At 50.6% G+C, this 27518-nt stretch overlaps 2 protein-coding genes and 1 long non-coding RNA gene across 39 annotated transcripts in view, besides 5 other annotated features; 1 reads left to right on the top strand and 2 right to left on the bottom strand.

Annotated features, from left to right (window-relative positions):
• Positions 1-14351: 14351 nt before the first annotated feature.
• Positions 14352-14875, bottom strand: LOC105372599 (uncharacterized). Its single transcript, XR_936690.3, has 2 exons — positions 14830-14875; positions 14352-14506 (listed from the first exon to the last, which is right to left on the bottom strand). It is a non-coding gene; the product is annotated as an uncharacterized LOC105372599 (long non-coding RNA).
• Positions 14833-15312: a silencer, noted in NCBI's record as "silent region_12843". NCBI's record gives its function as "represses an Ori minimal core promoter by ATAC-STARR-seq in GM12878 lymphoblastoid cells {active_cell/tissue: GM12878}" and the evidence as "EXISTENCE:reporter gene assay evidence [ECO:0000049][PMID:35858748]".
• TP53INP2 (tumor protein p53 inducible nuclear protein 2) lies at positions 15037-24129 on the top strand. 4 transcript variants are annotated; one of them, NM_021202.3, is made up of 5 exons: positions 15037-15205; positions 16051-16167; positions 19384-19556; positions 19929-20217; positions 20751-24129. In NM_021202.3, the coding sequence occupies exons 3-5, from the start codon at positions 19433-19435 to the stop codon at positions 20998-21000; spliced, it is 663 nt and encodes a 220-aa protein (NP_067025.1). In that variant the 5' UTR covers positions 15037-15205; positions 16051-16167; positions 19384-19432; the 3' UTR covers positions 21001-24129. The 4 variants fall into 4 exon arrangements, with proteins under 4 accessions (NP_067025.1, NP_001316358.1, NP_001316359.1 ...); NM_001329429.2 differs by having other exon boundaries at positions 19402-19556; NM_001329431.2 differs by lacking the exon at positions 15037-15205 and adding an exon at positions 15412-15471.
• Positions 19218-19512: a silencer, noted in NCBI's record as "tiled region #13945; HepG2 Repressive non-DNase unmatched - State 12:CtcfO, and K562 Repressive DNase unmatched - State 4:PromP". NCBI's record gives its function as "represses a minimal TATA promoter and a strong SV40 promoter by Sharpr-MPRA in HepG2 and K562 cells {active_cell/tissue: HepG2 | K562}" and the evidence as "EXISTENCE:reporter gene assay evidence [ECO:0000049][PMID:27701403]".
• Positions 19612-20171: a silencer, noted in NCBI's record as "silent region_12844". NCBI's record gives its function as "represses an Ori minimal core promoter by ATAC-STARR-seq in GM12878 lymphoblastoid cells {active_cell/tissue: GM12878}" and the evidence as "EXISTENCE:reporter gene assay evidence [ECO:0000049][PMID:35858748]".
• Positions 20212-20471: a silencer, noted in NCBI's record as "silent region_12845". NCBI's record gives its function as "represses an Ori minimal core promoter by ATAC-STARR-seq in GM12878 lymphoblastoid cells {active_cell/tissue: GM12878}" and the evidence as "EXISTENCE:reporter gene assay evidence [ECO:0000049][PMID:35858748]".
• Positions 20722-20891: a silencer, noted in NCBI's record as "silent region_12846". NCBI's record gives its function as "represses an Ori minimal core promoter by ATAC-STARR-seq in GM12878 lymphoblastoid cells {active_cell/tissue: GM12878}" and the evidence as "EXISTENCE:reporter gene assay evidence [ECO:0000049][PMID:35858748]".
• Positions 24130-25466: 1337 nt separating the features above from the next.
• Positions 25467-27518, bottom strand: part of NCOA6 (nuclear receptor coactivator 6) — a 110878-nt gene continuing 108826 nt past the window's right edge. For 33 of the 34 annotated variants that reach the window (XM_047440068.1, XM_047440055.1, NM_001438234.1 and 30 more), the window contains one exon: positions 25467-26058. In XM_047440068.1, coding sequence (XP_047296024.1) covers positions 26015-26058 — 44 coding nt within the window. In that variant the 3' untranslated portion in view covers positions 25467-26014. The remainder of the gene's footprint in view (positions 26059-27518) is intronic. The other variant, NM_001318240.1, reaches the window with a different exon arrangement.

Below are 27518 nucleotides of genomic sequence, written 5' to 3' on the forward strand. Positions count from 1 at the left end.
CCTTTTTGTCTCCCTTCGCTAGTAGGTGTTGGTTTTTCCCCTAGTTTGTTCTTTCACTGTGGGTGTAGCCCTTCAAGGGTCCTAGATTTATCAAGGGTCTCAGTTGCAACCTCTAATTTCATATAAGCCCAAAGCTTCAACTCCCCAAATGTTTCTTTAAAAACACAAGCTATTGCAGATTCAGTTGTGCCTTTTAAAGGATGTTTGTTGTTTTTATTTCCAGCATCTCCTTGGGTTGTGTAGCAGGAAGTTCCTGATATTGTCAGAAAAGGAAGTCCAACTCAGTATTTAGTACAACTGTCTGTTTACTTGTCTATTTTCTCCATGAGTGTCAAGCTCTGGGAGGTCAGGAACTAAGGCTGACTCATCTCTGGGACAAAACACCAGGCCCAAGATCTGGCACAAAGTAAATGCTCAGTGCGTTTGTTGATACTGAACCTCCACTTGGTCACTTCTAATGATGGGGAGCTCACTTTCTCCCAAGGTGGCCTCTTTCCTTTAGAGAGGGTGTGTGACCTGAGTGACCACCGGGCTAATGGGGGACAGCCTGCCCCTCATTTATGTACAACCTTCCCAATACTTAGCTTGTCCATCCAGATTCTGCAGAAGGGGGCTCAAGGCCTAGACATCCCAGTAATAACTGAGACTTTGAGCTTTGACTCAGAGGGAAGCACACGGGCCAGTTCCAGATGACACCCTAAGGCTCATCTTAGGGTGGAAGTCTAAAGTGGTACAGCATTTTGGGAGAGTAATTTGACAGCATCTGTTAAATTTGAAATGTACATACCTATCAATCTTGCAGTTCACTTCTCTGAAACTATTCTGTATATCCAAGGATAGTCACTGTAGCATTATTTGTGGCAGCAAACAATTGAAAACCACCCAAATGTCTGTCAATAAGAATAACTAAATAAATTCTCTAAAGTCAAGTCATACAGTGGAAAACTGTGAGCCTTTTATTTTTGTTTTTTTGAGACAGGGTCTCACTCTGTTGCCCAGACTAGACTGCAGTGGCGCCATCACGGCTTACTGCAGCTTCAACCTTCTGGGCTCAAAGGATCTTCCCACCTTAGCCTCCCAAGTAGCTGGGACTACAGGTGCACACTACCACACTTGGCTAATTACTTTTTATTTTTGTAGAGATGAGGTCTCACTATATTGCCCAGGCTGGTCTCAAACTCCTGGGCTCAAGAGATCCTCCAACCTAGGCCTCCCAAAGTGTTGGGATTACATGCGTGAGCCACCACACCTGGCCTATGTTTTTTTTTGGTTTTTTTTTTTGAGATGGAGTCTCGCTCTTGTCACCCAGGCTGGAGTGCTGTGGCGCGATTCCGGCTCATTGCAATCTCTGCCTCCCGGGTTCAAGTGATTCTCCTGCCTCAGCCTCCTGAGTAGCTGGGATTGCAGGCGCCTGCCACCACGCCCAGCTAATTTTTTTACTTTTAGTAGAGATGGGGTTTCGCTATGTTGGCCAGTCTTGTCTCAAACTCCTGACTTCAGGTGATCCAGCTGCCTCAGCCTCCCAAAGTGCTGGGATTACAGGTGTGAGCCACTATGCCCGGCATGTTTTTTTTTTTTAATAAGGTAGATCTATGTATATTGACATAAGTGGAATTCCAAGACATGTTGCTGTGAGTCTGTAAGACAGAGTGTATAATATCAAGAAAACAGACAAACCTATAAGCAGTGTAAATTGGTACATCATGGAGGCTATTTGGTAATATCAGTCACCTTTTTTTTTTTTTTTTTTGAGATGGAGTCTTGCTCTGTCACCCAGGCTGGAGTGCAGTGGCGTGATCTTGGCTCACTTTAACCTCCACTCCCGGGTTCAAGCAATTCTCCTGCCTCAGCCTCCCGAGTAGCTGGGAATATAGGTGTGTGCCACCACGGCCAGCTAATTTTTGTATTTTTAATAGAGAAGGGGTTTCGCCATGTTGGCCAGGCTGGTCATGAACTCCTGACCTCAGGTGATCCATCTGCCTTGGCCTCCCAAAGTGCTGGGATTATAGGTGTGAGTCACCGTGCCCAGCCTAAGTCAACTTTTAAAATGCTATTTAAACTTTTAAAATAACCTCAACTGACTAATCCCCACTAATAGATATTTATATTACAAATAAATATGCAAAATAATGGGTAAAAATATTAATTGCCACATTGTAATAACAAAATATTGGAAACAAACTTTTTCTCCTTATGAGACTGGATATATAGAGTGCATCTATTTGATGGGATACTATGCAGGTTTGAAATAGAATGAGGCTGCTCTCCATATCGATATGGAAAGGTCTGCAAGATAGAGTATGAAGTGATGAAAAAACAAGGTGCAGAATAGTGTCTCTATGTTTATGAAAAATACATGTATTATATGTTGGATTTTATTATTTTATTATTAATTTTTTGAGACAGCATCTCACATCTCACTCTGTCACCCAGGCTGGAGTGCAGTGGTGCAATCATGGCTCACTGCAGCCTCAACCTCCTGGGCTCAAGCAATCCTCCCACCTGAGCCTCCTGAGTAGCTGGGACCACAGGGCTACACCACCACGCCCAGCTAATTTTTGTATGTTTTGTAACAACAGGGTTTCACCATGTTGCCCAGGCTGGTCTTGAACTCCTGGGCTCAAGTGATGCTCTCGCTTCAGCCTCCCAAAGTGCTAGGATTACAGGCATGAGCCAACATGCTCACTCTGCATTGGATTTGAAATGCATAGAATTCCTCTGGAAGGAATCACAGGGAACTGGAATTGGTTACCTCCAGGAAGGAGACCAATAATTGGGAACTGGGAAGGGAAGGACACCTGCAAACGCTGTACTCCCTATTGAAGCTTTGTAATTTTGAACTATTTCCTTACAATTAAGTAAGGAAGTAAAAAATGTTAAACCATAATTGTAAAACTGGAAGCAAAACAAGCTGTACAAAACACTTTCTATATGTACATACACATGTTGTGTAGAAAAAGAAAAGAAGGATACACTTCAGACTGGTGGCAGTGGCAGAAGTTTTCTGGGACTGGATAACAAAGGGTGGTCAAGGGTGACCTTGACTTTATCTTTTTGTTGTTGTTGGGGTTTTTTGTTTGTTTGTCCGTTTTGAGACGGGGTCTTGCTCTGTCTCCAGGCTGGAGTGCAGTGGCAGAATCTCGGCTCACTGCAACCTCCGCTTCCCAGGTTCAAGCGATTCCCCTACCTCAGCCTCCCAAGTAGCTGGGACTACAGGCGTGTGCCACTAAGCCCGGCTAAATTTTTTCATTTTAGTAGAGATAGAGTTTCACCATGTTGGCCAGGATGGTCTTGATCTCCTGACCTCCTGATCCACCCGCCTCAGCCTCCCAAAGTGCTGGGATTACAGGCGTGAGCCACCGCGCCCGGCCTGTTGTTGTTGTTGTTGTTGTTGTTGTTTTTTAACATACAGGGTCTTGCTTTGCTTTTTTTGTTTGTTTGCTTTGGGGTTTTGTGTTTGTTTGTTTTGGAGTTTTTTGTTTATTTGTTTTGAGATGTCATCCAGGCTGCAGTACAGTGGTGCAATCATGGCTCACTGCAGCCTGAACCTTCCAGGCTCCAGCAATCCTCCTACCTCAGCCTCTGGAATAGCTGGGACTACAAATGCATGTCATCACATGTCGCTTTTATTTTTATTTTTATTTTTTGTAGAGACAGGGGTCTCATCATGTTGCTCAGGCTGGTCTTGAATTCCTGGGCTCAAGCAGTCTTCCTGCCTCAGCCTCCCATAGAGCTGGGATCACAGGTATGAACCACCATGCCTAGCCTTGCTTAGATTTTTATATAATCTTTCTGTTAATTGTTACTTTTTTTTTTTGAGATGGCGTCTAGCTCTGTTGCCCAGGCTGGAGTGCAGTGGCACGATCTCGGCTCGTTGCAACCTCTGCCTCCTGGGTTCAAGTGATTCTCCTGCCTCAGCCTCCCGAGTAGCTGAGATCACAGGCACCTGCCACTACACCCAGCTAATATTTGTATTTTTAGTAGAGATGGGGTTTTGCCATGTTGGCCAGGCAGCTGGCTGGTTTCAAACTCCTGACCTCAAGTGATTTGCCCACCTCGGCCTCCCAAACTGCTGGGATTACAGGCGTGAGCCACAGTGCCCAGCCTGTTACATCATTTAAAATCCATTTTAATCTTTAAAAGTAGGCTTCAGGTGGATGGAACACAACCACAGCCTGGCAAAGGAATGAGGCTGACTCTCCTCCTTCTGAGGGAAGTATTCATGTTGTGCTCTTTGTCCCACTGCCTTCCCCAAGGACAGCCTGGCTCAGTGGAGGCACCGGGGCTACTCCTGGCATCATTCCAGAGAGCCTCTCTTGTCACCTCTTACCCACTTGGCTCCCTGTCACCAGTGTTCTGGGCTGGGCTGAGAAGCAGCACAGATTAACTATTGGGTTGTATCTCCAGAAGCCCCATCGATGTCAGGTTGGGCAGAGCCAGCCCAGGAAACATGGAACATCTGCCTCTGGCCTCTCACCTCTTTGTTCTCCTACGAAGCCCGGCTTTTTTTTCTTTTTTTGAGACGGAGTCTGCTCTGTCACCCAGGCTGGAGTGCAGTGGCGCGGTCTCAGCTCACTGCAAGCTCCGCCTCCCAGGTTCACCCCATTCTCCTGCTTCAGCCTCCCGAGTAGCTGGGACTACAGGCGCCCGCCACCATGCCCAGCTAATTTTTTGTATTTTTAGTAGAGATGGGGTTTCACTGTGTTAGCCAGGCTGGTCTCGATCTCCTGACCTCGTGATCCACCCGCCTCAGCCTCCCAAAGTGCTGGGATTACAGGTGTGAGCCACCGTGCCCGGCTTGCCCTTTTTTTTTTTTTTTATAGATTTTGGCAGTTACTTGGAATATTCTTTCCCTTTGATACTCCACTACCTTTTTCCTCATACCCCAATTTATATTTCTGTCTCATCTCATTCAGTGGAGAGGAGGCATCTGAAAAACCCATCAACTAGATGTGCAGGGATTTAATGTTCCTACATTAATTGTATTTTAGGAGGCATCTAAAAAGGACGATGCTTAACTATGAGGAAACACACAATAATGATGGAATTCCTAGCACCGGTGGAGAAGAGATCCTGAGGCAGAAAGGCCTTGCTATCACTCTTCAGTCATGTTGATAGGCAATGCTACAAAGGGCTTAAGAACGTGGCACTGAGGCTGGGCACTGTGGCTCATGCCTGTAATCCTAACACTTTGGGAGGCCCAGGCAGGAGGATTGCTTGAGCCCAGGAGCTCAAGACCAACATAGGCAATATAGGGAGACCCCGTCTCTATACACAACAACAGCAACAAAAATTAGACAGGCATGGTGGTGCATGCATGTAGTCCCAGCTAATGGGGAGGCAGAGGTGGAAGGATTGCTTGAGCCCAGGAGGTTGAGGCTTCAGTGAGCTGTGATTGCACCACCGCACTCCAGCCTGGGCAACAGAGTGAGACCTCATCTTAAAAAAAAAAAAAAAAGGCCAGGCCCAGTGGCTCACGCCTGTAATCCCAGCACTTTGGGAGGCCAATGTGGGCAGATCACAAGGTCAGGAGATTGAGACCATCCTGGCTAACATGGTGAAACCCCGTCTCTACTAAAAATACAAAAAAATTAGCTGGGTGTGGCGGCGTGCACCTGTAGTCCCAGCTGCTGCAGAGGCTGAGACAGGAGAATGGCATGAACCCAGGGCCAAGACCGCACCACTGCACTCCAGCCTGGGTGACAGAGCAGGACTCCGTCTCAAAAAAAAAAAAAAAAAAAAGAATGTGGGCACTGGAGCCAGGCTGCAGGCTGACAGATTCGTATCTGTCACTTAGCAGCTGTTGAACCTTTGACAAATAACCTGTCTGTGCCTCAGTTTCCAAATCTGCAAGATGGAGATAAGAGTAGCTCCTTTATAGGACTGTTGTGAGGCTGTAATGAGATATTACATGAAAAGCCTGTAGTCCCAGCTACTCAAGAGGCTGAGGCTGGAGTACCACTTGAGCCCAGGAGTTCAAGTCCAGCCTGGGCAACATAGTGAGACCCTCATCTCTAATTAAAGAAAAAAAAAGAGATTTAATCTCTCTGTAATCCCCATCACTTTGGGAGTCTGAGACAATTGGATCTCTGGAGCCTGGGAGTTTGAGACCAGCCTGGGCAACATGGTGAAACCCCATCTCTACTAAAAATACAAAAATTAGCCGGGCATGGTGGCTTATGCCCATAGTCCCATATACTCAGCAGGCTGAGGAACAAAGAATTGCTCGGGCCCAGGAGGCAGAGGTTGCAGTGAGCCGAGATTGCACTTGGGTAACACAGCAAGACTCTTTCTCAAAAAAAAAAAAAAAAAAAAAAAAAAAAATCGGCCGGGCGCGGTGGCTCACACCTGTAATCCCAGCACTTTGGGAGGCCGAGGCAGGCGGATCACGAGGTCAGGAGATTGAGACCATCCTGGCTAACATGGTGAAACCCCGTTTCTACTAAAAATGCCAAAAAAAATTAGCAGGTCGTGGTGGCGGCCGGCGCCTGCAGTCCCAGCTACTCCGGAGGCTGAGGCAGAATGGCGTGAACCCGAGAGGCGGAGCTTGCAGTGAGCCGAGATCGCGCCACTGCACTCCAGCCTGGGCGACAGAGCGAGACTCCGTCTCAAAAAAAAAAAAAAAAAAAATCAAAGGGCCTCCGATCTATGCCAACCACTCCTTAAGATCCCTTTGGTTCTCACCAATCTCTCATATCCCACCACTGCCTTTCAGTGGCCTTCACTCACCAAACCTGTTACTCTTCATCAAAAACTGTACCCCTAGGCCCTTTCCCTCAGGCCTCGCTTTTTTTCTTTTTTTCCTCTCACCTCTCCATCCTGTCCCTGTTACCCTGTTATCTCAGTTCCATATCTCAAAAGCCTAGAAAGGCAGACAAGACAGAGCTCTCCTTAAAAAGTGATGGGCAGGCCAGCTGTGGTGGCTTACGCCTATAATCCTAGCACTTTGGGAGATCAAGGCAGGAAGATCACTTGAGACCAGGAATTGGGCAACATAGTGAGACGCGGTCTGTACACAAAATTTTAAAAATTAGCTGGGCATGGAGGTGTGTGCTGTAGTCCCAGCTACTCAGGAGGCTGAGGCAGGAAGATTGCTTGAGCCCAGGAGTTCGAGGCTGCAGTGAGCCACGATTACACCACTGCACTCTAGCCTGGGTGTCAGAGACCCCATCTCTAAAAAATAAAAAAAGTGAAGGCCAGGTGCAGTGGCTCACACCCGTAATCCCAGCACTTCAGGAGGCCAAAGTGGGAGGACTGCTTGAGCCCAGGAATTCAAGACCAGCCTGAGCAACAAAGAGAGAGAGAGAGAGAGAGAGAGAGAGAGAGAGAGAGAGAGAGAGAGAAAGGAAGGGAGGGAGGGGGAGAGAGAGAGAGAGAGAAAGAAAAATAAATTAGCCAGGCATGGTGGCACAGGCTTGGATAATTTTTTAAAAACTATTTGTATAGAAGGGGTCCCACTATGTTGTCCAGGCTGGTCTTGAATTCCTGGCCTCAAACAATCCTCCTACCTTGACTTCCCAAAGTTCTGGGATTACAGGCGTGAAGCCTGCGTGTATCGATTTTCTATTGCTGTGTAACAAACAAAACCTCCACAGACCTAGGGGCTCATGACAGCACCTGTTTATTAGCTCACAATTCTCTAAGTCAGAAGTCTAGGCACATCTGGGTTCTCTGCTTGGGATCCCACAAGTCTGAAATCAAGGTGTTGGCCAGGTGTGTCCTCATATGGAGGCTTGACTAGAGAAAGATCAACTTCCAAGCTCCCTCTGGATGTTGGAAGAATTCATTTTCTTGTGACCATATTAGCAAGGCCCTGTTTTCTCACTTTCTGTTGGCAGGGGACCACTCTCAACTCTCAGCTTGTAGAGGTCCCTCTTGGGTCCTCCTCTTGTGGCCCTCTCCACACATAGCATTTGGTCCTTCATGGGAGCACCAGCTGCTGGAAAAAATGATTCTGTTAGGTAAAAATACTATACATTTTTGAAACATGCACCAATTATTTAGCTCTGTGATTGTGGGCAATTTCTTCAAGCAGCCTGAGCCTCAATTTCCTTATTTGTAAAGCTGGGAAAACAACGATGCCCATCTTGGAGGGTTACAGGCACATAGAAAAACAATCAATAAATATAAGCTGCTGTTTACATTTGTTCTTTTTTTAAAAATTTTTAAATTTTATTTATTTATTTATTTTGAGACAGAGTCTTGCTCTGTCATCCAGGCTGGAGTGCAGTGGCGTGATCTCGGCTCACTACAACCTCTGCCTCCCAGGTTCAAGTGATTGTCCTGCCTCAGCCTCCCAAGTAGCTGGGATTACAGGTGCACACCACCACGCCCAGCTAATTTTTGTGTTTTTAGTAGAGACGGGTTTTCACCATGTTGGCCAGGCTAGTCTCGAACTCCTGACCCCAGGGCATCCACTGCCTCCCAAAGTGCTGGGATTCCAGGTTTGAGCCACCACACCAAGCCTACATTAGTTCTAACGAATAGACAGGGTCTAGACACAGTGAGATTAGATGAGTGAGGGACAGGGTTCCCTACATGGAGAAAACTGCAAGAGCCAAATCTTGGAAGCAGGAAAGCTGGTGGTTTATTTGTGAAGGGTGTGTGTGTGCGTGTGTACAGAGAACGCTGAAAGAGTAGGTGAACACAGTTTTGCTTATCCCTCCAGTCAGAATTTACTGGATGCTTACTGTGTACCCAGTACCATGAAAGGGTGCCCGGCCAGCAGTGTGAATTCAGCCTGGAAGTGGGAGGGAGCCAAGGAAGAGCTCTGAGTTGGAGAGGGAAGTGGTCTAAGCTTCGGGAAATTTATCTGCTCCTAGTAGAGTGGTTGACTCAGCAGGAGAGAACCCCCTTCTCTTCTGCACCCTCTCCTCCCTAGCCTCAAAGCCTGCTAAGGACCCAGTTCCCAAGCAGAGACCCAGGAGGGAGTTGCAGAATCTGGCCCTGTCTGGACAAGACAGACAGGGTGCGACTCCAGATGCCAGTTCCTTTCTTTCTGCTCCTGAATGGCCCCAAAGCTATCCCTTCTCACCACAATGGTCAAGGAGGGATACAGCAATTTCTCTTTTAAATGTTACACATAGGGCTGGGCACGGTGGCCTCTAATCCCAGCACTTCAGGAGGCCGAGGTAGGAGGATTGCTTGAGCCCAGGAGTTGGAGACCAGCCTGGGCAACATAGGAAGACCCCTGTCTCTAAAAAAAAAATTAGAAAAATAAAGTTCTAAATGTGGGAAATCATGCTGGGCACTCAACTACAGCAGCTCACTTGGGTACTTGTCCACACTCACAAATATAGCCCTGGGACCCCAAAGTCACTGTCCCACCCTCACACCATGGGCAGATGGACTCAAACTAAGCCAGGCTTTTGGCTTTCTGCCACTTGCCTCTTCTCTCTGAAGTGAATCCTGTCCTGATCATCACCTCCTTGCTGACAGGGCCATTAAGCGCAGTTCACACAAACAAACCACGATGCCTTGAGGTTGAGACTGGGAGGTATGTTAAGGGAGCATGGAGCCAGCCATTCTGCAGATGGGGAAACTGAGGCAAAGAAAAAGGAAGTGACTTGCCCAGGCTCAGGCAGTGAGCCCAGGACAGACCAAGACTGAAATCTGACAATCAGCCCAGGGTTTATACACACACACACACACACACACACACACACACACCCCACAATTTGAGTTACGCTCAAATTCAGACATCGTGGGTTGAACAACAAAGCTTTTTTTTTTTTTTTTTTTTTTTTTTTTTGCCAGAGTCTTGCTCTGTTGCCCAGGCTGGAGTGCAGTGGTGCGATCTCAGCTTACTGCAACCTCCACCTCTTGGGTTCAAGTGATTCGCCTGCCTCAGCCTCCCGAGTAGCTGGGATTAAAAGCACCTGCCATCACTCCTGGCTAATTTTTGTATTTTTAGTTTCACCATGTTGGCCAAGCTGGTCTTGAACTCCTGAGCTCAAGTTGTGTGCCGGCCTTAGCCTCCCAAAGTGCTGGCATTACAGGTGTAAGCCACCACACCTGGGCCACAACAAAGCTTTTTGAATAGAAGTTCTTGGAATATGGCCTCTTGTTAATGTGTAGGCCCATCTGTTGGGGGAATTTGGGGATTATGCCTGCTCTAGCTGGCTTTACCAATTAAATGTTTTCCCCTCTCTGTCTCAGTTTTTTCACCGGTAAGATAGGAAGAATTTATTATCTATGTCAGAGGGATTCCTCTCAGCCTCACTCTCTATCTCAGGTCGGGGGGCAGGGGAGGGTGGGGAAGGAAAGGAGTGGTGGGCCAGTCCTCCAGCTAAGCACACAGACTGGCCCATACCTGCAAGTACACACAAGGTCCCTTGAGCGACACACCCAGGCTGACACATCACTTTAAGGGGGCACGGAGGGGGGCAGGCAGTGGGAGTGGCAAGCCAGTGGGGAGCCCCCAGGTGAGGGCAAGCCCGAGGAATAGAAGGGTGGCCTCTTTTTTTTTATTTTTGTTTTTGAGATGGAGTCTTGCTCTGTTGCACAGGCTGGAGTTCAGTGGCGTGATCTCTGCTCACTGGCAACCTCTGCCGCCCGGATTCAAGCAATTCTCCTGCCTCAGCCTCCCAAGTAGCTGGGACCACAAGTGCATGCCACCACGCCTGGCTAGTTTTTTGGTATTTTTTAGTAGAGACAGGGTTTCACTATGTTGGCCAGGCTGGTCTCGAACTCCTGACCTCAGGTGATCTGCCTGGCTCGGCCTCCCAAAGTGCTGGGATTATAGGCGTGAGCCACTGCGCCCGGCCTGAAGGGTGGCCTCTTGACCTCCAGTCCTGCAGCCCATGAAATTGGGCAGGTACTCACACCTGGGCATGGGTTAGATGGGCGTGGGTCCCTAGTAACTCTGAGTATGAGCTCATGTGCATGTGTGTATATGTTTATATATGGATGCCTTCATTGTATGCACAGATACCCATGATTATCCATGTGTGTGCATAGGAATGGCACCCTCTGTCTGATTGGAAATGAGACTCCAGAGTTACCCCAGCATGATGTTCACTGCCTTTTTTTTTTTTTTTTTTTTTTTTTTTTGAGACAGTGTCTCCCTATGTTGCCTAGGCTGAAGTGCAACCACCCAGGCTCAATTGATCCTCCCACCTCAGCCTCCTGAGTAGCTGGGTCTTCAGGTGCAGGCCACCACACCTAGCTAATTTTTGTATTTTTAATAGAGACAGGATTTTGCCATGTTGGCCAGGCTGGTATCGAACTCCTGGGCTTAAGCAATCCTCCTGCCTTGGCCTCCCAAAGTGCTATGATTACTGGCCTGCACTGCCGCGCCCAGCTCTGCTGCCTCTTTTTACAGCCTGCCGGCCCAGACCAGAGTCTCAGAATACTAAGCCCACTTTCTGGGGCCAGGGTCAGTAGATAGCTTTGCTGCTGTATGATTCTAAGCAAGTATCTTGACCTGCATGTGTCTCAGTGCACCTCAGTTTCCTCACCTATAAAATGAGGGGTTTGGATGAGTTGAGGTCTGAAGCCTCCTCCAGCCCAGGTAATAAATCTTTGTAGTGGACAGGAGGAATAGGTCCTAGGGGTTTCAGGAGGGGACTTCCATGGGTACCTCTGACTCTACAGAGAAATGGAAGACTGAGATCTGACTTAGCAGCCTAGAAAGACTTAGCAGCCTAGAAATGGGGTTCAGCTAATTCTGGGAACAGAGTCCGGTCACTTAAGGTACCAGAGTGTAGCCAAGAGCCCCCTTTTCTGGGCTTGGGGAACCAGAACCATGTGTTCAACAGACCATTGCCTGTACACAGGGTAGAGAGTGCAGGTGTATACTCCTGAACCAGCCACCCTTCTTTTTTTTTTTTTTTTTTTTTTGAGATGGAGTCTCACTCTGTCGCCCAGGCTGGAGTGCAGTGGCACGATCTCTGCTCACTGCAAGCTCCGCCTCCCCGGTTCACGCCATTCTCCTGCCTCAGCCTCCCGAGTAGCTGGGACTACAGGCGCCCGCCACCACGCCTGGCTAATTTTTTGTATTTTTAGTAGAGGCGGGGTTTCACCGTGTTAGCCAGAATGGTTTCAATCTCCTGACCTCGTGATCCGCCCGCCTCAGCCTCCCAAAGTGCTGGGATTACAGGCGTGAGCCACCGTGCCCAGCCCCCAGCCACCCTTCTTAAGCTTCAAGCTATAACTACTGAGCCTGTGATGAAAGTCTACTCTATGCCAGACCCCCACAAGCTGGGTGCGGGCAGTATAGGGACAAAGACTCTGCCCTTGGGATGCCAACCATCCACTTGAGAAGACACATACACATACAATGAGTCATCATCACTTACTGTTTATGGACAAATAAACGTCCATCAAGGTAGCCATCAACTCGTGGGTAGGGACAAGGAAGGCTACCTAGAGGAAGAAAGGGTGAGTAGAATCTCTCCCTCTCTCTCTCTTTTTTAAGAGACAGGGTCTGGCTCTGTCATCCAAGCTGGAATGCAGTGGCTTGATCATAGCTCATTGTAACCTAAACCCAAGTGATCTTCTTATTTCAGCCTCCCTAAGCAGCTGGGACTACAGGTGCATGGCATCTGGCTAATTTTCTCATTTTTTGCAGATAAGTGGTCTCGCTATATTGGCCAGGCTGGTCTCAAACTCCTGGCCCCAAGCAATCCTCCTGCCTTGGCCTCCCAAAGTGCTGGGATTATGGCTGTGAGCCACCACACCTGGCCAAGTAGAATCTTGAAGACAGGAAAGATCTGGATTTCAGAAAGTTCTGAAGAAGGCATTCCAGGCAGGGGAAACAGCTTGAGCAAAAGGGTGGAGGTGGGAGAGTGCTGTAGAGTCAACAAGGAGTTTGACTTTAGCACAAGATGCGTGTAGGAGAAGGGGAGGTGAAGCTGGAGAGAACTGGGGCCGGAGCATGGGGGGCATGAGTTCTGTGTTAGGAGTGTGGGGCTTTAGGAGCCACATCAGGTTTTAGAACAAACAAGTGGCTTGACAGGAGAGACGTGTTAGGGATTATTTAATTAAAGTCAGCAAGTAGGTCTGAAAGGGTATGAGGTTAGCAGGAAGTGGCTGTGATGGGCAGAGGCTCAGAGTTGCATGGAATGAGGACACTTTGGGTATAACACTCCAAGGGCCACAATGCCACTCCCCTCTCCACCCCTCAGCCTTGGGTTATTTTTTTCTGGCTTCTTCCCCTGTCGCTAGGGTTAAGGAGTCCCTTGGGGGTTTCAGATGAGGCTGGGATAGAGTTTTATCACTAGAGTGCCGGGCACGGTGGCTCACGCCTGTAATCCCAGCACTTTGGGAGGCCGAGGCAGGCAGATCACAAGGTCAGGAGACCGAGACCATCCTGGCTAACACTAAACATACAAAAATACAAAAAATACAAAAAATTAGCCGGGCGTGGTAGCGGGCGCCTGTAGTCCCAGCTACTCGGGAGGCTGAGGCAGGAGAATGGCGTGAACCCGGAAGGCGGAGCTTGCAGTGAGCCGAGATCGTGCCACTGCACTGCAGCCTGGGCAACAAGAGCGAGACTCCGTCTCAAAAAAAAAAAAAAAGTTTTATCACTAGATCATTAACCTCTGGCCTAGGTCACCTCCGGCCTCCTTTTGGGCTAGGTGGGCAGTTCTCGGACCCTCCCCCACCAGCCCTGCTCTGCTGACCTAGAACCTCTGGCCCTGGAGATTCTGATATGTGTATTTGTGGTCTCTTCTCGGGCATCTCCCAGGCCACTGGGAGAGCTGGGGCCTAGAGCGTGGGGTGGGTGGAATCCTGAGGGCAGAGAGTGTGGAAGAATCTTACAATGGCAGCTCTAGAGGGAAGCCTGGATATGTTTGTTTGACAAACTGAGACCCAGAGAGGTAACATGACTTGAGGTCACACAGCAAGTCTAGGGCACAGTCAGGACTGAAAGCCAGGACTCTGGGGAGGCTAAAGCGCCCTGAGGTTTAGACCATCTGGTTCATGTAGAGAATGGAGAGGGTCAGGGCTGGGAGCTATGGGTTCAAATCCTGGCTCTGCCATTGACTGTACTTTTGTGACCTAAGAAAGTCACTTGAGCTCTCTGAGTCTGTTTCCTCAACTGTTAAACGGGACAATATCTACCTTTTGGGTTGTTGTGAAGATAAAAAAACACACCCATAGCACAGGTCGTGGCACACAGTAAGTGTGCCAATACATGTCAGCTAGTGGTATGGTGGTGCAATAGTAGGTGCCTAATAAATGTTGAATGCATTGTTGAACATGAGTTCACACGCTAACAGTGAGATTGTGAGACTCAGCTTTCCCACGTGTAAATCAGGACTCATAATCAGTCCCTGTCCTGCCACTTCTTTACAGCCCCGGTAGCAACATAGATTAAATAAGGTATGTAAACGTTCAAGCGCGGAGCCGTCTCAGGTCAATGTTTACTCAGCCCAGGGCAATTCCTCTCCAAGTCCTACTCTGCGAAATTTCACGTCAGCTTCACTAACTTCTCTACATTCCCAGATGCTCCCCGGGAACCGGGGGTTGGGGATGTCCCTCTTTTCTCAAGCCCGCCGAGCTGAGGAAAAACGGGGTGGGAAAGCAGAGTGTGTAAGGCTGAGGAGGTGAGCCAGAGGGGGGAGGGAGAGCAGGAATAAGGGCAGTGGGGAGAATGCAGGTGCACGGACGTGGTGTGGGTCGAGAACAGGGTCCGCATCGGGGGACTTGGATATAGGATGCAGTGAAAGGATTTGGGGAGCAGTGGGAGAGGTGAGGGCGCTGCGATCCGGGAAGAATCAGGAAAATAAGGAGCCGGTAGGAGGGAGTGGAGATCCTCCTCGCGGAGAGCTCGCCGCGGCGCAGGGCTCCCAGCTCCCCGCAGCTGCCTCCCCGAACACTCACCCTCCCGGTTCCGAGAACGTTTCCCGGCCCGAGCGCCCGGCCCGCAAACCGGGAGGGGAGGGGAGGGGAGGGGCAGGGGGGGATCCGCAGCCCGGGATTGGCCGCCGCCCCGCCAGCCGGTGACGCGAGGCGGGCGGGCCCCTTTGTGACGTCACAATCAGCTGTTTGAACGTTCCAATTTGTGCCGTGAGCCCCGCCGCAGCGGCCGCACAGACTCAAAGCCCCGCGGGCGAGCTCAGCAGCCCGGAGCGACCGCGGCCCCGCCGCCTCCCCCGCGAGTCCCGGCGATGCGGCCCGGCCTGTGAGCGGCCGGCGACCCTGGGACGCCCCGCCGCACAACTACCTCAACGCCGTGCCGCCCCCCTCCCGCCCCCAGGTGAGTCCCGACCCGGGTGGGCCTGGGGGCTCCCCTGCCACGGACACGCCCTGCGCCCCCCGCGCCCGGGCCTTTGTCTGTCTCCGCCGGCGGCCGCCGGGGCCGCGTTCCCGGCTCCCGATTGGTTGCCGCACGCCCGGTAGACCATGACGTCGTTCTATTTGCATATGACATTGAGACGTCACCAAGGCCGGTACCGCCCCCACAGGCTCGGGTCGCTTGTCCTCCCGTGACCCGGTAGCCGCTGTGTCGGGGCTGGGCCCTGGGTGAGACGCTGCAATCCAAAGGGGGCTGCAGGGGGATCGGCGATTTCCTAGGCTTATCCAGGGGCTGGGGTCAGGCCTCTGATCCCCTACTTTCTCTTTGCAACCTGAGAAGGAGTCAGACGGCGCTGCTGGGCCTAGGTTGAGGGGGTCGTCAGGAGTTCAGGGCTGCATGGGACTCCAGGTGGTTGGGACAGCACCAGATGGTGGTGGGATCCCCTCCCTCCGGCTCCAGACTCCGCCCCCAGGGACTAACAGAATAACATCCTCCTAATCCCTGATTTGTGTGCAGCGCCTTAGCTGATGTCACTCCTAGACCCAAAATGAAGGGTCTTAGACCCCAGTGCATGGAAGGGGCAACAGGCCCAGAGAGGAGGATTAGCTCTCTCGAGGTCACATAACCAATTAGAGTCATGCTCACTGAGTGACAGATGGATTATTAGCCAGGGGCAAAGACATAATAGGGGCTCAGTACAAGTGGTAAGATACACATCCTCCTTCCACTGGGGACCCGATCTTGGGCTCAGCCTTATCACGGTTTGATAGGCTCCTAGGTGTCCTTACTCCTGGACCCTTTTCCAGGGAATCTCTGGAGATTGGTTCACCTTTTGTGGTCCTGACCCCTTCTGTCCTCACTGTACCTTGAAGTCCTAGAGTCCAATAAAATCGCTGCCTCCCAGCTGTTTGGATCACAGAGAGGTGAGTCATTGGCTGCCTCGGGGTGTCTCCAGGGCTGATGTTGGGGTGGAGGGTGGGGTGAGGGTTCCCTCTATTGGCCCTTTACCTTCCCAACTTCCTAGGTCGTCAGCTAGGAAGGGCCTGACCTGGCCTAGTGCAGACAATTGCAGGTGTTTTGCTGCTCCCTCGTCACCTCTGCCCACAGAGAGTATAGGAGAAGGGATAGGATAAGGAGAGTTTCTGACTTAACAAGTGGATGGGCCTAGAGGCTGAACCAGGAACTCCATTCCTGCTGGGAGTTTGCTCAAGGATGGGCTGGGGGTAGGGGTGGCTTAGGGCACAAATGCTATTCTGGGCAGAGCTGCTGTAGTTATTAAAGGGAATGGTTCTCCCTGGAGCAGAACTGGGAATGTGAGAACCAGGAAGCTGGCAGGGCTGGGAAAGGAAATCTGGGAGGCTCCCCAAGTGGTCAGGAGAGGGGGCAGGCACTGGCTGGCTGGTGACTGCTTTCACTCCTGGCTGTCACTGACTTGCTGTGTGACCTCAGGCAGGGAGCTTTTCCCCTGAGCCTCCCTCCCCTAAACCTATCTGAAATTTGGGGAGGCACAGTGCAGGCTCTGGTACACAGTGGGTCTTCAGTAAATGCATGCTAAATCTTGGTGCCAGTAACCCCAGACCCTTTTGTAGCTAGGCGAGGGGTGGTGTGGCTAGGTCAAGGTCTTTTTCACCTCCCTGTACCCCTGCATCATTGTATTCTTGGGGATTGTTTGCTGAGTCTTTCCTGACTGTGTACACTCTGGACTGGATGCACAGTAACGTGGGACTAGGTCTGCCCTGCCACTATCTAGCCATGTATTTTTGGATAGATTTATGTCTTCTTTCTGATCATCAGATTTTAAAATGGGCTGGGTGAATATGATGGTCCCTGAAACAGCTCTTAACTTCTCTTTCATATTCCATGAATTAGTAGGTTCTTGGAAGGAGGATGTGCCTCATCAAGGCCTCGATATTCCCTTCCTTCAAGAGGGGCCAAACTTTCTGGGCTTTTGGTAATGGAGTCACTAGCTCCCTGTGGCTACATATGGGTTGGGATACATGAATTGTGCTGGGTGGACACTAGTTGGGGGTGGCCCCACCTTCTTAATCCCTGTAGATCTCCCACCCCCATCCCACCAGAGAAGCCAGCATCTTAAGCCTACTGTGAGTCTGCAGATGTGGAAATATTCTCAGGGTATGGAAGTGAGGTGATTCTGCAGCAAGTGTGAAAACATTTCTAGGGAATGGGGGAGGTAGCAATAAGCATGGCAATACTGCAGGTGGATTAGCAGAAAGAGGAGAAATGCCTTCAGGGAAGTCTGGACATGCCCCCAGGAAGTTCTACAGGAAGTGTGGAAACACCCTTAGAGAATGGTGACAAGTGTCTCAGCAGCAAAACCGTTGAGCATCTTTAGGGAACAGGTGTGGAGAGTCAGTCAGGCTTCAGGTACTGGGGGAGTATGGCCAGCAGCCCCCAGCCAAGCTCTAGTCCTGAGGTAGGCTGGCATGGGGAGGGGGTAGATCTAGAGCTACCACCTTGGTGTTTCCATTTCTGCAGTAGGGGGCCTCCCTCTTCATCTTCACCCAGGGAAGGATTGGTTAAGGGCTTACCTCGGTCTGGGTCCAACCCTCAGTGCTCATCCTTAAGGGCTCCTGGGAACTGACAGCTCCCTCCCTTCATCATCACCTCCCACTGACCTGCTGTCTCACTGAGCCCAAGCAACCTGATCTTCCTCCTACCCCTGGATGCTGCCCTTGAACAGGAGCCTGGGAAAAGGGGGTCAGAGGGGGGAGGGCCTGCCGGCATGCCATCTTTACACTTCATATGACAGACACAACCGAGGTGTGCCAAATCACATGGTAAGATGGTAGCAGTTCTATGGGATTTCTGCTGGCCAGTGCTTTTCAAACCACACAGGCTCCAGGAGTGGTTCTTAATCTCTGGGGTCAAAGATTGCTGTTTAGGAAATCATGATGAAAACCAAGGTCCTTTTTCCCAGAAAAATACACATGGACCATGACCCCTGGCCACCAAATTGAAAATATCAAATTCAGACAGACACCCAGAAAAGGCAATAGAATATAGTGATTCTGGGTGCTGCCTCTGGAATCTGATTGTGTGGATTCAATCCCACCTTTGTCTCCTACTAGCTCTGAGACTTTGGGACAGTTAACTTCTCTGAGCCTCAATTTCTTAACTGTAAAGTAAGGACAGTAATTATCCACTTCCTGTAGTTGTTGTGAGGATTACATGAGGTAATATAGGTAAAGCTGCTTAGCATAGTGCCTGGAACATAAATGTTAGCTATATCATTATTATTATTTTGAGACCAAGTTTCGCTCTGTCACCCAGGCTGGAGTGCAGTGGCACCTCGCAGGTTCCAGTGATTCTCCTGCCTCAGCCTGGGATTACAGGCACCTGCCACCACGCCCAGCTAATTTTTGTATTATTAGTAGAGATGGGGTTCACCACGTTGGCCAGGCTGGTCTTGAACTCCTGGCCTCAAGTGATTCACCCACTTCTGCCTCCCAAAGTGCTGGGATTACAGGCGTGAGCCACTGTGCCCGGCCTAGCTATATTATAATGATAACAAGCAGACAATATGGGCAATTTCCTCCCTGCCTGGAGAACTCCTATTTACTCCTCAGAGTGCAGCTTGGATGTCCAATTCTCTGGAGACCTTCCCTGGCAGAGCTGTGTCATGTGTCACTCTATGTTCCTAAAGCACCCTGTAATAATAACTAATTTATTAGTTTGTTGAGTGCTTACCATATGCCCAGACAGTTCTAAGCACTTTATAAGTGTTTAGCTCATTTAATTCTTCCTCCTCCATCTTTTTTTCTCATTCAATAACTTTGGTATAGCTCATTTAATTCTTATTAGAGCCTGGAGGAGGATACTATTATTAGCTTATTTAATTCTTATAAGAGCCCGGAGGAAGGTACTATTATCATTGTCTTTTGACAGATGAGAAAACTAAGGCACAGATAAGTTAAATAACTTTCTAAAATCATACAGAAGATAAAAAAAAAACCCTGGATTTGAATGCAGAAAGCACATCTTCCCAAAGCGTCCGCACACATCCCCGTTGTGTGTACCCTTCTCCCTGCTCTGGGGGTGATATCTTCTGGCCTCTTCCCCAGGCCAGGAGTGGGGTGAACCTCAATCAGTGGTGGCTCTCACGTCCTTCTGATTCCCAGGTTTTTGCACTGCCATAGGGCGCCCCCGTGAGGCGCTTCGCCCCCCACCATGTTCCAGCGCCTCTCCAGCCTCTTCTTCAGCACCCCCTCGCCCCCCGAAGACCCCGACTGCCCCCGCGCCTTCGTGTCGGAGGAGGATGAAGTGGACGGCTGGCTCATCATTGACCTGCCGGGTGAGGCCTGGGTCTGTCTCCTGGGCCTGTGAAGTCATTCTAAGGGCAGATGGCCTAGCAGCGGAGGGGAAGGGCGCTGCTGGGGGACGGGGGAGTCCCCCAAGCCTACTGGAGGTGGGGTCACGGGGCCCCTTCCCATGAAAGCCGGGGCTCTCTCCTGGCGGCCCAGGAGAGGCCCGCACGTCAGGTCCCCTAGGGCAGCAGGGCGAGACGCCTGGCCCGTGGGTGCCCCGGGGCGCTGCGGACGGGCTGCGGGTCTGACTAACGATGCCCTTTCTCTCCCCGCCCCCTTGTCCGGTGTGTGTGTGTGTGTGTGTGTGTGCCTCCTCGCTGCTCCCCTCCTCTGCACGGCTCCCATCCCGCGCCCCGTAGACAGCTACGCGGCTCCACCCAGCCCCGGGGCCGCCCCTGCCCCCGCGGGCCGCCCTCCGCCCGCGCCCTCCTTGATGGACGAGAGCTGGTTTGTTACCCCTCCCGCCTGTTTTACGGCAGAGGGGCCTGGACTCGGTCCCGCCCGCCTCCAGAGCAGTCCCCTGGAGGACCTCCTCATCGAGCACCCCAGCATGTCCGTTTACGTCACCGGCAGCACCATAGTGCTAGAGCCCGGGTCCCCTTCCCCGCTCCCGGACGCGGCCCTGCCTGACGGCGACCTCAGCGAAGGGTGAGCGGGCCGGGGGCGGAGCCTGGAGGCCCAGGGAGACGGATCTTGGAGGCCAGGGTCCAGGCTAGGAGGCTGGGGTAGTGGGGCCAGGAGCCCGCCCCGCGCTCGAGGGGGTAGCGGCCTTGGGAGGGTTGCCTTTGAGACAAAGTGGGGGGCCGGTGGGCCTCCGGGCGAGGCTAGAAGCGGGCCTGAGGACGGAGGGGCGGGGCTTGAGAGGGAGGGGCGTGGCCAAGAGGCTGGGGCCGGGGTTGGAGGCTTGAGGAGCGTGGCTGGAGCGCCTAGGGAGTGGGACTTAAACAGAAAGGCAAGGGTGGAATAGGGGGTGGGGGTCCAGTCTCCCCCGAGGTCCAGTTTACCTGTTAAGGGCTAGAACCGAGGAGGCACCTCCGGGTTGGTACCCACAAGAAGGGCGTCGGGCACCCCAATCTGAACAGACACAGAACTGAGCCGAAGCAAGGGTGGGAGATGGCAGCGCCCTCTAGACCCCCCGCCCAGCTTACCCGGCTTGACCGAGCCTGGCTCTGTCCTCACAGGGAATTGACGCCCGCCCGCCGCGAGCCGCGGGCCGCGCGCCACGCCGCTCCTCTCCCAGCGCGGGCGGCGCTGCTGGAGAAGGCGGGCCAGGTGCGGCGGCTGCAGCGGGCCCGGCAGCGGGCAGAGCGCCACGCGCTGAGCGCCAAGGCGGTGCAGCGGCAGAACCGAGCCCGCGAGAGCCGTCCGCGCCGGTCCAAGAACCAGAGCAGCTTCATCTACCAGCCGTGCCAGCGCCAGTTCAACTACTGAGCGTCCACCGGCCGCGCCACGAACCCCTTGCCGATCCCGATCCCTGTCGGGCTCCTCCGACTCCTCGGGCTGGACACCGAAACCTCCCTTCTTAAAGCGTGTGAGGTTGGGTGATAGCCGTTCCTTCCCCGACACCCTCAATTTCCCCATCTCTGATCCTCTAATCTGCCTCTGAACCCATTCACCCTTCACCCTCACTCCTGGTCCCCATACCCAGCATCTAATCATCCATGCCCCCTACTCCTGGCCCCTCCATCCTTTCTTCTCTGGTCCCCATCCCTGTCTCTCCCTTTCACCCTTGCCCTCCAGTCCTCTACCTCTGGCCTGCCCCTATTTCTGAAAGCTTCTTCCAGTCCCTGATCTGGCTCATTCCCCACCTTCAACTCCCACCTTACATGTCTCACACTATCCCATGGTTGGCATTACACTCACTCCTGTTCCCTTATTCTTCATTCCCAGTAATTCCCTACCAAATGGTGGGGACCCTGAGCCCAGCTCTGACCAGGTAGAGCCTGTGCAGCCTGGGCTGCTGTCATTGCCCTCCAGTAAGGGCTCAGGGTTTTGCTTTTAGTCTCCCCTTCCTTCTGCCTTGGGGGCGGTACTCTGTGGAGCTGCTTAGGCCTGGAAAGGTACAGTATGTAGAAGAGGACTGTGAGACGTGAGTTAGAGGGAGAAGATGGAGGGAATCTAGGGAACGAGGCAGCCTATTGGAGATGCGGACAGGACAGACACGTTGAGAAGCTGCAGGGAGCAGGGCACCAAGGGAGTGTGCACTGTGCTTGCTCAGAGAGGCCAAACCCTGCTCCCAGGCTGAAGCCTGGAGTCTGCCCCCACTTCCCTTTTCTATAATCCACCCTTCTGCAGGCCCTGAAATCTGAAGGGCTTAGTTAGTACCTTGCCACTCTACCCCCAACACGTCACCCGAGTAGAAGCTGGGCAAGGCCCTACCATCCTGGCCGTCTGTTCACAAGCCCAAGGTGCTAGAACTAGCTTAGGAGACATGCAGGCCACAGGGCTTCTAGGCAGGGAAAGGGCACACACCCTAGGTCAGCGTGCAGAGCAGTGATGCTGGAGGACACACCATGGGGTGAAGCCATCCCAAGGCTGACAGCTCAGTCTTCACCTTGCCTCTGGCCTTGTATTTCACACCCTGCTCAGTATGGCTAGCCAGCAGTCCTGAGTAGGAGTCCAGGACTCCCACTGTCTCAATCTGCAAATTGTTCCTATCCAGGTTCAGGGCCTTCAGGGGGCCTCTTTTCATTTTCTCCCACAGGCCTCTCTTTCTTTCTAGGTTGCTGGGGAGAAATGGGTACCCTATGATCCCCCTCCCCTTCTCCTCCAGTAAATACCTGGAAGAGGGAACCTGAATCCCTGGGGGAGACAGAAGGGGCAGGGGCCACCAGCCTCCCCTTCTTGTGGTGAGACTGAATTTTGGGCTCAGACACCAGCAACAGCCTCTTGGGATGCCCTGAGTTGCTTCCCATTTCCTCTTTCTAGCCGTCCTTTTCTAGTGTGTGCTCACTCTTCCTAGGAACTTTTAAGACTTCTTGGTACCTATGAACATAGGTCCTCCCCTCACCCCAACTCTAGGTTTCCAGGCCTCACAGCCAAGCTGAAGCTTGGAGAAAACTCTGCATTCCCATGAGGGCAAAGGCAGCTGCCCTCCCTGACCCTATAGCCCCAGGCCTCATGGGGGGTATGTGGGGAAGGGATGGGGTATCCCCATGGATGCTGGGATGAGGACAGAGGAAGACCTGATGGGGTCTCCTATTCCAGGGAATAAGCCAAATTAACACTAAAAACGGATCAAAGCTCCCACGCCAGTCCACTAGGGCCCCAGTAGTTGACAGCCTTGCTCCTCTCCCAAGTTCTCCTTCAGAACCTAGTTGCTTTTATTCTTCCAGCTACCACTTGGGCACTTCACAGCCAGCCTAGGGTCTTCGGCACCTCCAAGAGCTGAATCTCCCTCCAACCCTTCTTGCCTACTCCTCACTGCCAGCTGGGACCTAGGCTCAGTCCTGTGTGGTGCCCATGATCCTTCTGGTGGGGGAAGAGTTTAAGTTATAGGGCATTTGGCTCAAATTTTAAAAGGCCTTTTGTTTACCTATATTTCTGGAGGCTCCTGTATTCTAGAACCCAATCTCTCACCTGCTTGGTTGCAAGGCTCATATTTTTTTGTACCTTTCCTATAGATTCTGTAGCATTTGAGTGTGGCAATATTTTAATTGTGTATAGATTTCTAAGAACCAACACTACTCAGTCTCCTGCTAGTCTGACTCCTGAAGCATCAGCCCTTGTCATACTGTATTGACTGTGTACGTGCCTTTCACCTTGAGCATGCTTCAGGATTTTTTTTTAAACCACAGAACTTGAATACATGAGGGAACCAGAGTTCAAAGTCCTATGCAACCTTAGGAGGGGGTTAGAGAGTCTGTTTTGATTGATGTTTTCTGAGGCCCTAGAGGAGTTTGTATCAATTTGTGAGTATTAATGTCAGTACTACCAGCACTTTGCCAAAACTGTCAGAGGGACCCGTTTCTAGAGTGAGTCCCAGTTACATCAAACAGTGACTTCCAGTTATTCCCCAGTAAGTCTGAGTGGTTCCTTCAAGCTGGGTGTCTTTCCAGCCTTTGCCAGTCTAGCCCCAGCAGGGCACCGTGTATGAATGCAGTTTGGTGCTGTTTTAGAGTATGCCTGCTCCCCAGCCCCCTGCCTGGAACCCTCTGAGCAACTTGCTCTGACCTATAATGTCTTAGGTGCAACACGGACCCCACCAGAGCTCTTGGATACCCCCCTAGATCCATGTGGCTTTATGTGAGGGGACTGAATGCAGACACACCATAGCCCCCTTCTACTACTTTCCCTCTCGCCCTGCCACCTAGTTCCACATGGAACCAACAAGTTGAGTGCATCCCTGTTGGGTGTTTTGTGTTGAGACTGGCTGAAATGAGGAGACTTTGACCATGTGACGTGTCAACAGACTCAAGGAGACAACCACCTCAACTGGGTCATGTGGCATGCCTGTGTATGTGTGTAACAGAATTCTGATTGTTAGACTGTAATGCTATTCCTCTATGGGAGAAAAAAATTAATATAAAGAAAAACAAATAAAAATATATTTAAAGCACATGATCCTTTCTGCCTGAGTTGAGCTTAAGTATGAGAAGCATCTTGTAATCTTAAGCACAGTAGTGGCATAGGATATTATGATAAAGCTGGCCTTGGTTCTGGTGTGTGTGTCATATGGGAGAGGAAGAGGGGAGATAAGCTTACTGGGAACAGAGCCAGACAATGGGGTCTGACTCATAAATGACTACTGTTAGAGGATCCTTACAATGCAAGACACATACATGAAGACAGCTGAAATAGAGATGAGAATAACAGCATGACAGAATGACCAAACTCATCCTTGTGGTCTCAGGCACTGGGTTAGAGCAAGGGCAAGTAGCCACTGGAGGGGAAAGGATGAAGTCTAATCCTGGGGGAGATGCAGCAGAAGGCTGAAGCCCAGGCTGAGACAAGGCCAGGGCCCCAAGCATCAGAGTCTCCTCAAGTTGCAGGTAGGGTGGGGCAGAAGCAGCTGGCTTTGGAGACTACACACATTTTGAAGAAGGACAGCCAGAGTGAAATGTAGTGGACATCTCTGAAATATACAGCACAAAATGACCCCTTTAATTTGGGAGCTGCTCTGTCTAACCACAGAACTAAAGGTGGAAACCTGACCTAAACTGGACTAGATTTTTTTTTTTTTGAGACGGAGTTTCACTCATTGCCCAGGCTGGAGTGCAATAGCGCAATCTCGGCTCACCGCAACCTCCGCCTACTGGGTTCTAGCGATTCTCCTGCCTCAGCCTCCCCAGTAGCTGGGATTACACGTGCCACCATGCCCAGCTAATTTTGTATTTTTAGTAGAGACAGGGTTTCTCCATGTTGGTCAGGCTGGTCTCGGACTCCCAACCTCAGGTGATCCACCCGCCTAGGCCCTCCAAAGTGCTGGGATTACAGGTGTAAGCCACCATGCCCGGCCCTGGACTAGATTCTTGATGCTGGCACAATCTTACAGGCCAGTTTGGGCTTACCTCCTGCAAGGAGGAGATGTCAGCACAATTGTTTTGGAGCAATCCACCATGCAAATGGAGGAGCAGATATGTGACATGGTGAAAAAGTGCCATCTCAGCTGCTGACAGCTTCCTGTCCCTAGAAAATCCTGGGTGGCCATTGATCTCTAAGTTGGTTTTGTTATTTGCATCAAAAGAAATCTGAGCAATATATATCAAAATACCTGGCACAGTGCTGAACAGGGCTAGTTTCTTCAAAGCCAAGAATGAGGTGAGGGAGCAAGTATGTACATTTTCCTCAACTTGCCAGGCGGGCATCTCAGGTTCAATGAGGACTAGATAGGAATTCCATCCACAAGGCTGTGTCTGCTTAGTTAAGGTCCAAAGAAAGAGCTGATCACCCAAAAATCCCTTACCAATAACATAACTTTATGTTCTATGACAATGACATTTATTTAACACGTTATTTCACATTGTACAAATCCTTAGATTCTCTTTATTCACTGGTCCATTTCTACAACAAATACATCCAAAACACTATATAATAAAATTATTTACAACATTTCCAAATGAGAAGATTGCTTTTGCCCCCACTACTGCTATTCACACACAGTACTTCCACGGCACAATACATCATTAGGAGATCTAAAAATGCTCACCCTGTACTCTAGGCTGCTTAGGAAATGTGAAAACTAGTAACATTTATAATGGCATTAGCTCCTTTCAATACAAGACAACATTTTAGAAACCTTGAACTTCAACTCGCAACACCAAAAGGGCTCAACAGTCCTGCTTTCCCCATTGCACTTTATGAAACAGGTTGCAGGGACTAGGAAAAGGGCCACATTATTAAAATTACTAACTGTACAGAAATTGATTTAAAAAAGTCACAGCTCAAAATTGCTCTTTGTAAAAGTCACACACATTTCCAAGTATCAAGTCGCAGTCCTGCTTGTTTACTTGGATTTTCTTCGCTTGGATTGCACCGCACTGGTTATGTCTGTGGGGGAAAGAAAGGACATGTTCAGTGGAAGTAACTCTTTACAGCAGTGCCCTTTAGACAGTCCACAACAAGCAGGGCAGACCTAAGGGGAGCCCTACTCAACTCAGAATCTGTCTAAGGGGTGCTCTGAATGGAGAGAGTCACAGGCTTTGCTTGATGACTTACGTGGGAAGAGGGTGTGGTCCTGCATTGGGCAGAATTGGAATGTGACAGAGGTGGTGGCGATGAAGCACACTGACTAGAGAAAGTGCAGGGTGGAGAGAGCCTTTGTAGCTGGGCAATTCACCCACTGTTTCCCTCACCAGTTCTCATCATAAAACGAAGTGTAATAGACAGACTGACAATGCTTTTGGTGAGAAATCAACGAGTAATGCCATAAGCAAATGAGTAAATTCTGTTAGAATGCAAAAAAAAACCTGCCTTGGGATCCCTTTTGGAGCCAAGCTATTGTTTCACAGTAAGGAACCATTTTTGTCATGCTATAGTCAAGGTCTAAACAACATGACCATGGGCCTTGGTCAGTGAGGGTCTACTATGGCCCAGCCAGTTATATCAAGATTGTGGAAGGCTGGGCGTGGTGGCTCACGCCTGTAATCCCAGCATTTTGGGAGGCCGAGGTGGGCGGATTGCCTGAGGTGAGGAGTTTGAGACTAGTTTGGCCAACATGGCGAAACCCCATCTCTACTAAAAATACACGAAAAACTAGCCGGGCGTGGTGGCGTGTGCCTTAATCCCAGCTACTCAGGAGGCTGAGGCAGGGGAATTGCTTGAACTACGGAGGTGAAGGTTCCAGTAAGCCGATATCCCACCACTGTACTGTAGCCTGGAGACAGCGAGACTCCGTCTCAAAAAAAAAAAAAAAAAAAAAGACTGTGGATACATACAGTCATGAATGCAATTCAGAATAAGCAACGGCCTGCTCTGAGCCCAAGTGAGCCTGAAGGCTTCATGGAGGAGGTGGGAACTGAGTGATTTACACACAGAATGACAGTGACATACAGGGAAATGACTATGTTTTGATTCCTTTAGTTTCTCTTGTACTATCAGTGTTTTAACTTAATCTTATGCCAGACTTAAACTGTGTTTCTTAAAAACGTTTTGGCCAGGTGTGATGGCTCACCCCTGTAATCCCAACACTTTGGAAGACTGACGCAGGAAGCTCACTTGAGCCCAGAAGTTTTGAGGCCAGCCTGGGCAAGATGGTGAGAACCCATCTCTACAAAAAGAAAAGAATTAGCTGGGTGTGGTGGCACATGCCTGTAGTCCCAGCTACTCAGGAGACCAAGTGGGAGGATCACTTGAGCCCAGGAGTTCATGGCTGAAGGAGTTCAAGGCTGAAGTGAGCTATGTTCATGCCACTGTACTCCAGCCTGGGTGACAGAGACCCCATCTCTATTTAAAAAAAAAAAAAAAATTCTACACAAAGTTATGGCAGAGTACAGTGAATAGCCTGAAGC

Source organism: Homo sapiens, chromosome 20 (genome assembly GCF_000001405.40).
Source record: "Homo sapiens chromosome 20, GRCh38.p14 Primary Assembly".
NCBI classification, from domain to species: domain Eukaryota; kingdom Metazoa; phylum Chordata; class Mammalia; order Primates; family Hominidae; genus Homo; species Homo sapiens.

What these genes read in the sequence shown, in the direction of transcription:
- TP53INP2 (NM_021202.3), top strand. Translation starts at nt 19,433, where the DNA reads ATGTTCCAGCGCCTCTCCAGCCTCTTCTTCAGCACCCCCTCGCCCCCC. An exon ending in GCTCATCATTGACCTGCCGG is followed by an intron (nt 19,557 to 19,928) that starts GTGAGGCCTGGG and finishes CGCGCCCCGTAG; the next exon opens with ACAGCTACGCGGCTCCACCC. An exon ending in GACGGCGACCTCAGCGAAGG is followed by an intron (nt 20,218 to 20,750) that starts GTGAGCGGGCCG and finishes CTGTCCTCACAG; the next exon opens with GGAATTGACGCCCGCCCGCC.